General features: G+C 39.6%; 1 protein-coding gene across 1 annotated transcript in view; it reads right to left on the bottom strand.

Moving 5' to 3' along the window:
* MCM6 (minichromosome maintenance complex component 6) overlaps nt 1-13325 on the bottom strand; it is a 36818-nt gene that overhangs the window by 14698 nt on the left and 8795 nt on the right. Inside the window, exons 5-11 of the mRNA NM_005915.6 lie at nt 12240-12405; nt 11809-11954; nt 10690-10840; nt 8284-8425; nt 4978-5119; nt 3574-3681; nt 2405-2560 (exon numbers count right to left, since the gene is read on the bottom strand). Coding sequence (NP_005906.2) covers nt 2405-2560; nt 3574-3681; nt 4978-5119; nt 8284-8425; nt 10690-10840; nt 11809-11954; nt 12240-12405 — 1011 coding nt within the window. The remainder of the gene's footprint in view (nt 1-2404; nt 2561-3573; nt 3682-4977; nt 5120-8283; nt 8426-10689; nt 10841-11808; nt 11955-12239; nt 12406-13325) is intronic.

Consider the following 13325-nt stretch of genomic DNA (forward strand, 5'->3'; position numbering starts at 1 on the left):
GTTTGAGACCAGCCTGGCCAATAAAGTGAAACCCCGTCTCTACTAAAAATACAAAAATTAGCCGGGCATGGTGGCACACGCCTGTGATCCCAGCTACTCAGGAGGCTGAGGCAGGAGAATTACTTGAACCTGAGAGGCGGAGGTTGCAGTGAGGTGAGACGGCAGCACTGCACTCCAGCCTGGGTAACAGAGCGAGACTCCATCTCAAAAAAAAAAAAAAAAAAAAAAGAGAAAAAGAAAAAGAAAAAGAAAAAGAAAAGGCTTTTTGGCCAGGTATGGTGGCACATGCCTATAATCCCAACACTTTGGGAAGCTGAGGTGGGCAGACTGGTTGAGCTCAGGAGTTTGCAGCCAGCCTGGGCAACATGGCAAAATCCTGTTTCTACAAAAAACTCAAAAGTCAGCCAGACACAATGGTGTACATGTGTGGTCCCAGCTACTCGGGAGGCTGAGGTGGGAGGATTGTGTTAGCCCAGGAGGCTGAGGCTGCAGTGAGCCATGATCACGCCACTGCAGGAAAGAGTGGGACCCTGTCTCAAAAACAAAACAAGCCGGGCGCGGTGGCTCACACCTGTAATCCCAACACTTTGGGAGGCTGAGGTCGGTGGATCAACTGAGGTCAGGTGTTTGAGACCAGCCTGGCCAACATGGTGAAACCCTGTCTCTAGTAAAAATACACAAAATTAGCCAGGCGTGGTGGCACACGCCTATAATCCCAGCTACTCAGGAGGCTGAGGCAGAAGAATCACTTGAACCTAGGAGGCGGAGGTTGCAGTGAGCCAAGATTGTGCCACTGCAGTCCAGTCTGGGCAACAGAGTGAGACTCCGTCACAAAACAAAACAAAACTAAAGAAAACAGTTTTAAAAAAATCTTGAATGTTTTAAAGGTTTATAAATTGATCTTTTAAAGGTTTATAACTTGATCTGCTACTAAAGCTACTTTAATGAATCATGAACAAACATAAATGTATGAAAATCAGACAACTCAATTATCTGGTAATTAAATATGTCTCTCTTGTGAAGGGAAAAAAAGTGAACCAAACCAAACCAAACCAAACCAAACCAGGTGTGATGGTGCAGGCCTACAATCTTAGCTATTCAGGAGGCTGAGGTGGTAAGGTGGTTTGAGGCCAAGAGTTCAAGACCAACACGGGTCTTGAACTTGTTGCCGTTGCTACAAAAGGATGAAAAAATTAACCAGGCATGGTGGTACAGAGCTGTAGTCTCAGCTACTTGGGAGGCTGAGGCAGGAGGATCACTGGAACCCAGGAGATTGAGGCTGCAGTGAGCTATGACTGTGGCACTGCCTGGGTGACAGAGTAAGACTTTGTCTTTAAAAAATAAATAAATAAAAATCCAAGCCCTCCAAACACTCACAAAATGGAAGGCTACTTTTATTTAGATAATATTTAAAGTTCCACTGTAACAAAGAGCTGTGCACTGTACCCAATAAAATGTAGAACCTCAATGCTGAATGATTTAAAAAGTACAGCCTAAAATATTAGTTCCTACAAACTGTCATTTTATAGTTCTGTGGGCATCTGAAGTGCATTATTAAATATTTAAGTACACATAACTCTAATAATTAAACTAACATATCAGAATCCAAGTAAATCTACATTTTTTCACTCAATCTTAAAAGTGAGAAAAAAAGGTAAAATACATTCAGCAACTTGATAGGAAAAAATACAAAGATAAATGACTCATGATTAAAAAAAAGAAGAAGAAAAGAAATTTCTTTGGCATCCCAGTTTTTTTCAAGGTGACTGAAAAATAAAATAAAAGCCCAATCAACAAAACAAAAAATTGTATAAAAATCTTAAGAGTGTGGTTGGGGCCAGGTACAGTGGCTCACACCTATAGTCCCAACATTTTGGGAGGCTGAGGTGGGTGTGCATCACTGGAGGCCAGGAGTTCAAGACCAGCCTGACCAACATGGTGAGACCCTGTCTGTACTAAAAATATAAAAATTAGCCACGCATGGTGTTACATGCCTGTAATCCCAGCTACTTGGGAGGCTCAGACTCAAGAATCGCTTGAACCTTGGAAGTGGAGGTTGCAGTAGGCCAAGACTGTGCCACTGCACTCCAGCCCAGTCTCCAGTGAGAGGCTGTTTAAAAAAATAAAAAGTGTGGTTGGAAGTTAACTGTAACTTGTTTCCTTTTGAGAAATAAATAGTAACAAAACCTGAAAACTTAATTCTTGAACACAATTAAGTGGAAGAGGCAATTCAAATGACTTTATTTTGAGTTGCTTACTAAACCCTTTGTCCGATCCTGTGCCACCCTGAGGGAAATCAAAGGCTGGTGCACATACATGCACCAGCTGTTGAGCAGTGTATCTTCCAGCCTTGTCTCACTCGATTACTCCAACTGGAAATAAAAAAGGAAGCTCATGGGGTTACCTCATTACATTCATCCACAAGGATAAAGAAGAGATCGAATCGGGACATGATGGGAGCTGACAAATTTATATTCTGTTTCAATGATTTTGATCTGTCATAGTGTCCACTGATTGGGTTTGCTGCTGCCAAAATGGACGTCCGGGCGTTCAGAGTAGCCTGACCACAAAAGAAAGAATCTTAACAGATTTAAATAGACATCAGCCAATAAATATATAACAACATGTTCAATCTCACCCATAATTAACTAAACACAAACCAAAATAATGACATACCCTTTTTCACATAAACAGGAACTCCTATGTGATTTTGGTGGTATGATGTGCACACCATTGAAGACATCAATTTGTTAGAAATTTCTCTTATAGCCAAATATAAAAGGATGTTGCGTTCAAGGATGCTTACTACAATTTTGTTTGTAATACAAAACACTGAAAATGAACCAAATGTCACTCAACAGGAGTCTAAAGAATCAAGCTGTGGTATACACAATTGAATATGGGAAATTAATAAAAAACCAAAGTTGATCTAATATGTGCTGGTAAAAGATTGCCAAAATAAAATTATGAAGTTAAACCAGCAGGAATGAAATTGTCAGTATTATGCTTATGTACAAAATATTCCTAAAAGGGGCACAAACTCAATAGATGCCTTATTTTCCTCCTCCTAAAATTCCTTTTTATCCATTAGATACCTCTAAGTATCTACTGTTGCTGGGAGTTGCAGGGAAAGAGTTGTCTTTTCAATTTACAATTGTGTACTGCTTAAAAGCTACTTGAATCTGTAGCTTTTAAAGTTTAGATTCTCCCTAGTGTTGGTTATACTGTCATACTTATTTTCATTTAAATACTCTGTTAATATAAATAAATATATACATATATAATCAATCTGTTGATCTTTGGTTATTTTTGTTATAATTGGAGCATGCTTTATCAAAGAAAATAAAAGCTTTGTTCATGGACATTTTCCTCTATTATCATGGCAATACATTTACACAGTACTCTAAACAACATTTATAGTTTCAATAAATAATTCTCAGGGCTGTATTTTCCATTTTAATGAACAGCATTACACACTGAAGTAATGAATTTTATCCAGGTGAACTTCTCTAGTACTACATTAATCAACAAGGCTATGGACGATGCAGCAGAACAGAAGTAGATAACACATACCTTCACTCCTGCTTTAGTGATGGATATGGTCTGCTGTTCCATAGCTTCATGAATAGCAACTTGATCCCGCACGTCCATCTTATCAAATTCATCAATACAACACACACCCTGTAACCAAACAAATCAAGCCTAAGAAGCTGTCTTTCAAGCTGGATGCATGGCTCACACTTGTAATCCCAGCACTTTGGGAGGCCAAGGCAGGAAGAACGCTTCACTAAGGCCGGGCATTTGAGGTTACAGTGAGCCATGATTGCCACTGTACTCCAGGTTAGGTGACAGAGTGAGACCCTGTCTCTTAAAAAACAACAACGGCCGAGTGTGGGGGCTCACACCTGTAATCCCAGCACTTTGGAAGGCTGAGGTGGGCTGATCATGAGGTCAAGAGTTCGAGACCAGCCTGGCCAACATGGTGAAACCCCGTCTCTACTGAAAATACAAAAATTAGCCAGGTGTGGTGGTGTGCACCTGTAATCCCAGATACTCGGGAGGCTGAGGCAGGAGAATTGCTTGAACCCGGGAGGCAGAGGTTGCAGTGAGCCAAGGTTGCACCACTGCACTCCAGCCTGGGCGACAGAGCAAGACTTCATCACGAAAAACAAGAACAGTCTTTCAGATGGAAAATTACAAGTAAACTCACAAAGTCTGCTACCACAGGGACTCTTCTATTCTCCAAACAAGTAGAAGATAGGTAAGTGAAGATTCTTAACTCCCTTTTCTAAGGAAGATAATTCAACAGATCCTAAAGCTAGAAAGAACCACACAATTGACTTAAAACTAAGAGCATAACTAAAAATATACACTTACTGTACTTGTACTCAACATCAAAACCTTGTGTCAACTCAGGATTGATTTTATACCTATAACTTATATACACATCTACCGATCTAAACTAGTAACAGCAAACACACGTGCTCAGGACATGCTGATCAACTATCACAATTTTAAATTCTAGATGAAGAAAACTATGAATTATTTACTAAAGAATGCTGGGTTTTTTTTGTTTTGGTTTTTTTGAGACAGAGTCTCGCTCTGTCACCCAGGCTGGAGTGCAGTGGCACAATCTTGGCTCAATGCAGCCTCCACCTCCTGGGCTCAGTGATCCTCCCACCTCAGCCTCTTGAGTAGCTGGGACCACAAGCACCCGCCACCATGCCCGGCTAATTTTTGTATTTTTAGTAGAGAAAATGGGTTTTCGCCATGTTGGCCAGGCTGGTCTCGAACTCCTGACCTCAGGTGATCCACCCACCTCGGCTTCCCAAAGTACTGGGACAAAGGTGTGAGCCACCGCGCCCAGCTGAGAATGCTGTTTTTAAGGACATCTTTTTAATGGTAACTTATAGGCCTTTACTGATAGGGTAGGGGTATTCTGACTTCTTTATACTGAAGAGTGTAAAATGTTCTTACATTATCAGCCAACATCAAAGCTCCAGCCTCAATGACAAACTCATGAGATTCTTCATCTCTCACAACAGCTGCTGTTAAGCCAGCAGCACTGGACGCTTTACCACTGGTGTAGACAGCTCTGGGGCTGAACTCCTCCACGTGCCTGTTCAAGGTTATCACATAAAGACTCATTAATATGTGATTATACAGCACCCTTCCCAGGAAAACCAGCAGAAGAGTTTAAATTACTGAAAGAACATTTGAGAGCTTAAGCAATTCATGAAGACACATGCCACAGACTAAATGGGAAGGTTTCTCTCCCTCGGCTTTTCTTTTTTTTTTTTGAGAGGGTCTCGCTCTGTCACCAGACTGGAGTGCAGTGTCACAATCTCAGCTCACTGCAACCTCCACCTCCTAGGTTCAGGCGATTCTCGTGCCTCAGCCTCCCGAGTAGCTAGGATTACAGGTGTGGGCCATCACGCCTGGCTAATTTTTGTATTTTCAGAGTTAATACCTGATAAAAATATCAATTTTTTTTAATTGAGACACAGTCTTGCTCTGTCGCCCAGGCTGGAGTACAGTGGTGTGATCTCAGCTCACAGCAACCTTTGCCACATGGGTTCAAGCGATTCTCCTGCCTCAGCCTCCCGAGTTGCTGGGATTACAGGTGTGCGCCACTATGCCCGGCTAATTTTTGTATTTTTAGTAGAGATGGGGTTTCACCATGTTGGCCAGGCTGGTCTCGAACTCCTGACCTCAGGTGATCCACCTACTTTGGCCTCCCAAAGTGCTGGGATTACAGGCGTGAGCCACCACACCTAGCCTAAAACATCAATTTTATTTATTTTTTAATTTAATTAATTTATTTATTTAGACAGAGTCTTGCTCTGTCACCCAGGCTGGAGTGCAGTGGCTTGATCTTGGCTCACTCCAAGCTCTGCCTACTGGGTTCATGCCATTCTCCTGCTTCAGCCTCTCGAGTAGCTGGGACTACAGGCGCTCGCCACCACACCCGGCTAATTTTTTTTGTATTTTTAGTAGAGATGGGGTTTCACTGTGTTAGCCAGGACGGTCTCGATCTCCTGACCTCATGATCCACCCACCTCAGCCTCCCAAAGTGCTGGGATTACAGGCGTGAGCCACCGCGCCCAGCTAAAACATCAATTTTAAAAGAAGTCTTTAATAGTAATAAACAGCAACAATCATCTATCAGAAGGTCTTGCAATTAAAAATAAAACAAAACAAAACTAGATATGGGGCTTATTCCAGAAATGCAAGATTGGTTTAACATCTGAAAATCAATCAATATGCTAAATTAATAAAAGAACTACATGACCACCTAAACAGATGTAGAAAAAGCATTTGACAAAATCCAACACCTTTTCATTACAAAAACCAAACAAACCAGGAATAGAGGAGGTTTTCCTAAGTCTAATAAAGGGTTTTTTCTTTAACCTGACAAAGGGCATCTATGAAAACCCACAGATAACATCAAACTTAAAGGTGAAAGGCTGAATGTTTTGCCCCTAAGATCAGGAATAAGACATGGATGTCTGCTCTTGCCACTTCTATTCAACATTATACTGATGGCTCTAATCAAGGACAATTAGGCAAGAAAAAAAGGCAGCCAGATGGGATACTCCGACTATCATTATATACAGATTTTATACATAGAAAATGCTATGGAATCCACTAAGACTGTCACATACCACATGACACTGTTACCAGAGGCAACATTGTAGTACATCTTTCTTTTTGAGGGGGGAGAAAGAATGACAAGAAAAAAAAAAGAATCCTTTGTAACACAGGACTACTATCTTAAAATCTAAAACTCAGTCTGTGATATGTTCAAAAGAAATATTTAATCATAAAACTCCAAACCAACTAAAAATGTTCAATATTCTAAAATGGTACTATGCTACAAATTTCCAAAACAAAGAAAAGGCAGCTTGATGTAGTATGAAGTACACATGTTTTGCAGGCAACTGTATCTGAATTTTAATATTCATGGCTCGGTGTCACCTTTCACCTACAAGAAAGTGGGCAAATTTCTTGTAGGCTTGGAGAGGTTGTGACTCTCTGAAAAAAAAAGGGAATAATACACATGCCTGTCTGGGTGCTGCTAGAGTAAGACATAACACATATACAGCACTGAGAACATGGCAGGTGCTCAGAAACTTGTTGCTTTTATTTTGGGCCCTAAGTTTCTTAAAAGTTTGAAAGTAATCAAATATTTATTATAGCTTCTAAAAACAGTCAAAAATTGTGTTCACACTGACAAAGTTAACATAAAATATCTCATAGCAGCATTCCCTTTGGAAAGTACATCCTATTTTATTTTTATTTTTTTTGAGACGGAGTCTTGCTCTGTTGCCCAGGATGGAGTGCAGTGGCGCAATCTCGGCTCACTGCAAGCTCCGCCTCCTGGGTTCACGCCATTCTCCTGCCTCAGCCTCCCAAGTAGCTGGGACTGTATACAGGCGCCCGCCACCACACCTGGCTAATTTTTTGTATTTTTAGTAGAGACGGGGTTTCACCGTGTTAGCCAGGATGGTCTCCATCTCCTGACCTCATGATCCGCCCGCCTTGATTTCCCAAAGTGCTGGGATTACAGGCGTGAGCCATGGCACCCGGCCAGTACATCCTATTTTAAAACCTTACAAATGTTTGTATTCTTAGTCTCAACAATCCTGTATCTAGCAATTTACCCAGAGGAAACAAACAAAAAATGTATATAACATTATGATGTTCACTGCATCTATATCGGTAATTATTATAATAAACTATCCTGTTAAATTTAACAGGGCTAAGAAAATGATTTTGTAAGCTATAGTATACCAACAAAAAAAGACAATTGTGAAAATGACAAACTCATGAGATTTTTCCATGCGAAAAGAAACATGGAAAAAATGTTTATAGAAAATTGAAATTACAAGTATGTATAATATGATTTACAATAATGAAAATACATAATTCATATTTTTATACAAATAATAAAATTTGTATAAAATTTTATACAAATAATAAAATTTGTATAAAATTTTATACAAATAATAAAATTTGTATAAAATTTTATACAAATATATTTTACAAAGATATTATACAAAGACTAAACAGTTCAATGTGAGATTGGTATTACAGGCAATTTTTCCCTATTCTAAAAAATTGTACAATGTTGCCATAACTTTAATCTATGAGAATTATATATTCAACATAGTCATAATTTACACTCCTAGTAAGGCCATACTGACTGCATTCTTGGTAGCACAGCCAGCCTGGGAACTATGTACACTTTTTCCTGCAACACTGTATCAGGCAAACGCTTACTTGAGAAATTGGCTCTTAGCTGTACTTGGGTCACCAACAATGCAAACATTTATGTCCCCTCGAAGAGAGGTCCCTTCTCCTGTTGTCTTTGGAACGCCACCAAAGAGCATCAGCAGGACACCCCGTTTTACTTCATCATTGCCTGAAATGAAAAGAAGCTACAGATGAAAAACTAATTTTTCAACATGAAGTTAAACACTTTCAGAAGAAACAGTAAAGGCATGTTTACCAACCGAAAGGCAGAGTCAGCTAAAGCAAAGCATAAAACTGGAGTAATAACACCTGGCTTCCGATCTTGGTTCTTGTTCTGTGGACTTAGTCACCTAAACCACTGTTCCAATGTTTTCTCCTACACCACAGATGTCACCGTGCCAGTGCTCACCATCCTAAGAGCCTTTACTTGTCCATGAGTCCTACTTCCTACACAAAACCTTACCCAATGCCTTAGCCCTCAAAGATCTCTCCTGATAAATGAACTATGTCCACCAAGGCCTACCACATTTGCTAGTCCTTTTTAATGCCAGTTCTTATAGTTCTGTGAAGAGTTTGAGGAAATGGTTCATAACACTTTTCTATCACCTACAGTGACCAGCACTGAATAAATATATGTTAACTGAATTCATGTGGATTAAATAAGATGCTGAATGCAATTTACAGCTGCTTAGTTCATAAATCCAATAAGAAGGAAAAACAATTTTCTTAAAAAAGAACACTGTGCTATTAAAAGAAACATTTTTCTGTGGAACTGTCGACTCTCTGAACTCCATCAACAAAGTGCTATGCAAAGTTACACAAGGCATTCCTTAAAGCAGAAAATTAGGCTGGGTGTGGTGGCTTATGCCTGTAATCTGATCACTCTGGAAGATCCGAGCACTTTGGAAGGCCAAGGCGGGAGGATTGCTTGAGCCCAGAGGTTTGAGACCAGCCCAGGCAACACGGTAAAACCCCATCTCTAAAAAAAAAAATTTTTTTTAATTAGCTGGGCATGGTGGCAGGCGCCTGTAGTCCCAGCTAATTTCGGGGCTGTGGTGGGGAATCGTTTAAGCCCAGGAGGTTGAGGCTGTAGTAGGCAATGTATGCTGTCACTGCACTCCAGCCTGGGCAAGAGTAAGACCCTAACAAAACAAAACAAAACAAAACAAAACAAAACAAAACAGGTAGAAAACTAAAAATCCCTTCCACAAACAAAACTTCTCTGACTTATATTTAGATAGAAAAAAAGGGCCGGATGCAGTGGCTCATGCCTGTAATCTCAGCACTTTGGGAGGCCAAGGCGGATGGATCACTTGAGGTCAGGAGTTCAAGACCAGCCTGGCCAACATGGCGAAACACCATCTCTACTAAAAATACAAAAATTAGCTGAGTGTTGTGGGGCAATCCTGCAATCCCAGCTACTCGTGAGGCTGAGGCAGGAGAATCGCTTGAACCCGGGAGGCAGAGGTTGCAGTGAGCTGAGATCACGCCACTGCACTCCAGCCTGGGCGACAGAGTGAGACTCTGTCTCAAAATAAAATAGAATAAAAAAAGATAAAAAAAGGTTGAGTTCTTACCATAATCCTAATTGAGTATGGAAGACAAGGATGGAAGAGTTCAAAGATAAAGCATCAGGCCTAAAATTTTAGTCATAGCCTTCAAAACACAGCTTGCAACCAAGAGTCAGGAAAATGTGAAACTGCCAAAGGTATAGACAGAACAAGTAACCAATCATAAACACTCCATTTTGGTAAATAAAAAGAGAAACAAGAGCCAATGTGGTGACCTACACCTGTAATCCCAGCTACTGGGGAGGCTGGAGGTAGGGTTGCTTTAGCCCAGGAGGGAGTGCTTCAGCCTAGACAACATAGCAAAACCCCGTCTCTCTAAAACACATACACACACACCAACAAGGCCAGGAGACTACAACCACAAAAAGGCCAGGAGACTAGTCTCGCATATGGAAACACACTTAAGTGCAGCTCTGTCATAAGGCCAGGAAATAAGATGACAAAATAACTTTTCCTTAAAAAAATAAAATTGTGATAAAAATACATAATAAAACTTATCATTTTAACCATTTTTCAGTGTATAAGTTCAGTGGCAGTAAGTACATTATGTTGTATAACTGTCACCACTATCCCTTTCCAGAACTTTGTCATCATCCCAAATAGCAACTTTATCCATTAAATAACTCATTTCTCCCATTCCCCCAGCCACTGATAACCTCTATCCTACCGTGTCTCTATGAATTTGCACATTACAGGTACCTCGTATAAGTGAAATCATGTACCTGTCCTTTTGTAAATGACCTCTTTCAGACCCACTAAAAACTTTCACAGTCTGATTTATGTGCTTTCAGAAATCACCTGTGGCTGTTTATAATCATTATTTTGATTTCAAGTTTATGGTACAAATGGATGGAATTCTTACCATGTATAGTAGGGAACAGGCTGGTACAAAGATTGTGGTATAGATTTTTATCTTGACTCATCTCAAACACTTTCTCCCATTCTTTCACAGTCATTTGGTTCTTAATGCTCTCAGCTGTCTGTTCCTCATCTCTGAGCTCTTTCCCCCCAAACTAATGGTAGAGAACAAAGGAAGAATCATTAGTATAGAAGCAGTCAAAAGAGCATAAAGGAGAAGAAACTTCATTACAAACACAACATAGCATGGGAAGTCAACCTCACAATTTATTGACTGTAAAGGTTTAAAAAAAAACAACTCCCCAAACTAGTAAGCCCTCAGTTAACAAAGACACTTAAGGGTATGTCATTTGTCCAGTGAGTTAAATAGAAAAAAAGCTACCTGAATGCTCAAGAGATAAGCGATAGCAGAATGTTAATCACTGACATAAAGATGCAAATAAAATAAGAGAATATTATGTTCACTCCCTTTTTCCAATACTGAACTATTTTCCAAACTCCCATTTATGACACAGAATCAAGTTAACTGAATGATACTGCCAGGGGTTCATCATTCTCAGAAGTTTACTTCCCAGATTACTAAATCTTTTTATTTGTATTTCCTCCAGAAGAATAACAGAGGAACTATGAAACTTTAAAACAAAAAACAGCGTGGATAATTTGTACCACTGCACTTAAAAGCATTGAGCTTTTATGTAAGACATCAAATAAGACTTTTTTTCAAGATCAGAAAGGCATACGTCAAAAGATTTGGTTTTAAAACTCATCAAATCTTAACCCCATCCCGTGCTCTCAACATTGATGAGACAGCCCAGATGTTTCAGAATCCTATCATTTCGTGGCAGCTCAGGGTAGGTGTTTCTTAAGCTGTCACTCTACTAAGACTCACTGTTGGCCTGCCTGGCCAACAGAGCAAGACCTCATCTCTAAAAAAGTTTTTTTAATTAGCTGGGTGCAGTGATTCACACCTATAATCCCAGCTACTCAGGAGGTTGAGATGGTAGGATCACTTGAGCCCAGAAAGTGGAGGCTACAGTGAGCCATGACTTTGCCATTGCACTCCAGCCTGGGTGACAGAGAGAGACTGTTTCAAAAACAAACAAAAACCCCCAAAACGACTGACCCTTGGGTTGGTTGGCGCAACACAGCAGGCAAGAAAGACCAGCCTATAAGAAAGGTCCCTAACACCAAGGGCCCGGAGTCCTCGAATGCCTTCTGTCTCATATCCATCAACACCACTGACACGGGAATTAGTTTCTGCACGTGCTCCTGAAACAGAATGATAGGTTGTTTCACAACTTAAATATTAAAGGTGCTGAACATCAAAATTGCTCAAATAAATGAAAGCTATAAATCCAAAGACTTCACTTAAGCCTTGAATACTTTCAGAATAGCACCATTTGTGGCAAAACCAATTTGTTTTTATTCTCATCACACTTCGTTCCTCAGCTTCTGATTGGTAGCCAAAAAGAAGACAATGAAGATGTGGGAAGCTAGATACTGTGCAGTTTAGGTAACTGAGAATTTGTTAAATTTGAGCCACAGATTACTGACCTGGTGTGCTAAGCTTGGAGACGTCAGGCACAACAATCAGTGTCCCTGTAAAGTCACACTTGTCACCAGCTTGAGCTGATTCCACAGCTTCAGCCCTTAAAATTACTTCTAAACTGCGGGGGATACTCCCTCGAGGAAGCTCAGCTTGGGTCTCTTGAATACGAACCTGTAATACAGACAAACAACCAACCAAGAATGAGAAGCAATACCTTTCAGATGCCATATAATCTAAATTAAATACCACAAATACGGACGTATTCTAAACTATCTGACCCATTAGCAGACTTTTCACATGTACCAACATTTATCCTAAAAATTATCTACTCTAAAACTCCTTTTAGTCAAATAGTTCAATTTGGCAAGAGATTACATCTATTTAAAAACTCCATGATGATTCAAGCAGCAGAGAAAAAAAAAACTTCACTTTTACTCATTAAAAAATAATTTTTTTCTTTGTTCAAAATGACTCCAAATATCTGTTCCATGCTCCATCTTCTCCTAAGCTTTAAGATAATTTTACAGAAAATTTCAAATACACCTTTTATACCCTCCACTTCAACACAACTGCTAACATTATTTACAGATACATGTTTTTTTACTATGTATTTGAACACAGTTGTGAACATCAAGAAACTTCATACCTAAATATTTTAGCATTCATCTCTAAGAATAAAGACAATCCTGTTACAATATCATTATCACAACCAAGATAATTAAACAATATTTAATTTCATAAAATTACATATCTTCTATTATCTAGTCCATCTTCAAATGTCTTGTCAAGAGTGTCCTTTATACAGTTGTGTTCCCCCCCCCAAACTAAGACCCAATCTAGATTCATACTTTATAAGATAAGACATCTCCTACCCAAAGCTGTTGGTAAAATATGTGCATCTTATAAGCTACCAGGTTAATGTAAGAAAGCCAAATAAGGAGAATGATTATCAGAGCAATATAAATAATATTAAATTCATCTGATAATAATTATTCCATACTTGAGCTGCTTCAGCTTTTCTTTCCATTTTGTATGTCCCATAAAATTAAGTCCTGCTGAAATCTGAGGGTCCCCTTCATTCTTACTACTGC

Source organism: Homo sapiens, chromosome 2, assembly GCF_000001405.40.
Source record: "Homo sapiens chromosome 2, GRCh38.p14 Primary Assembly".
In the NCBI taxonomy this organism is placed as follows: domain Eukaryota; kingdom Metazoa; phylum Chordata; class Mammalia; order Primates; family Hominidae; genus Homo; species Homo sapiens.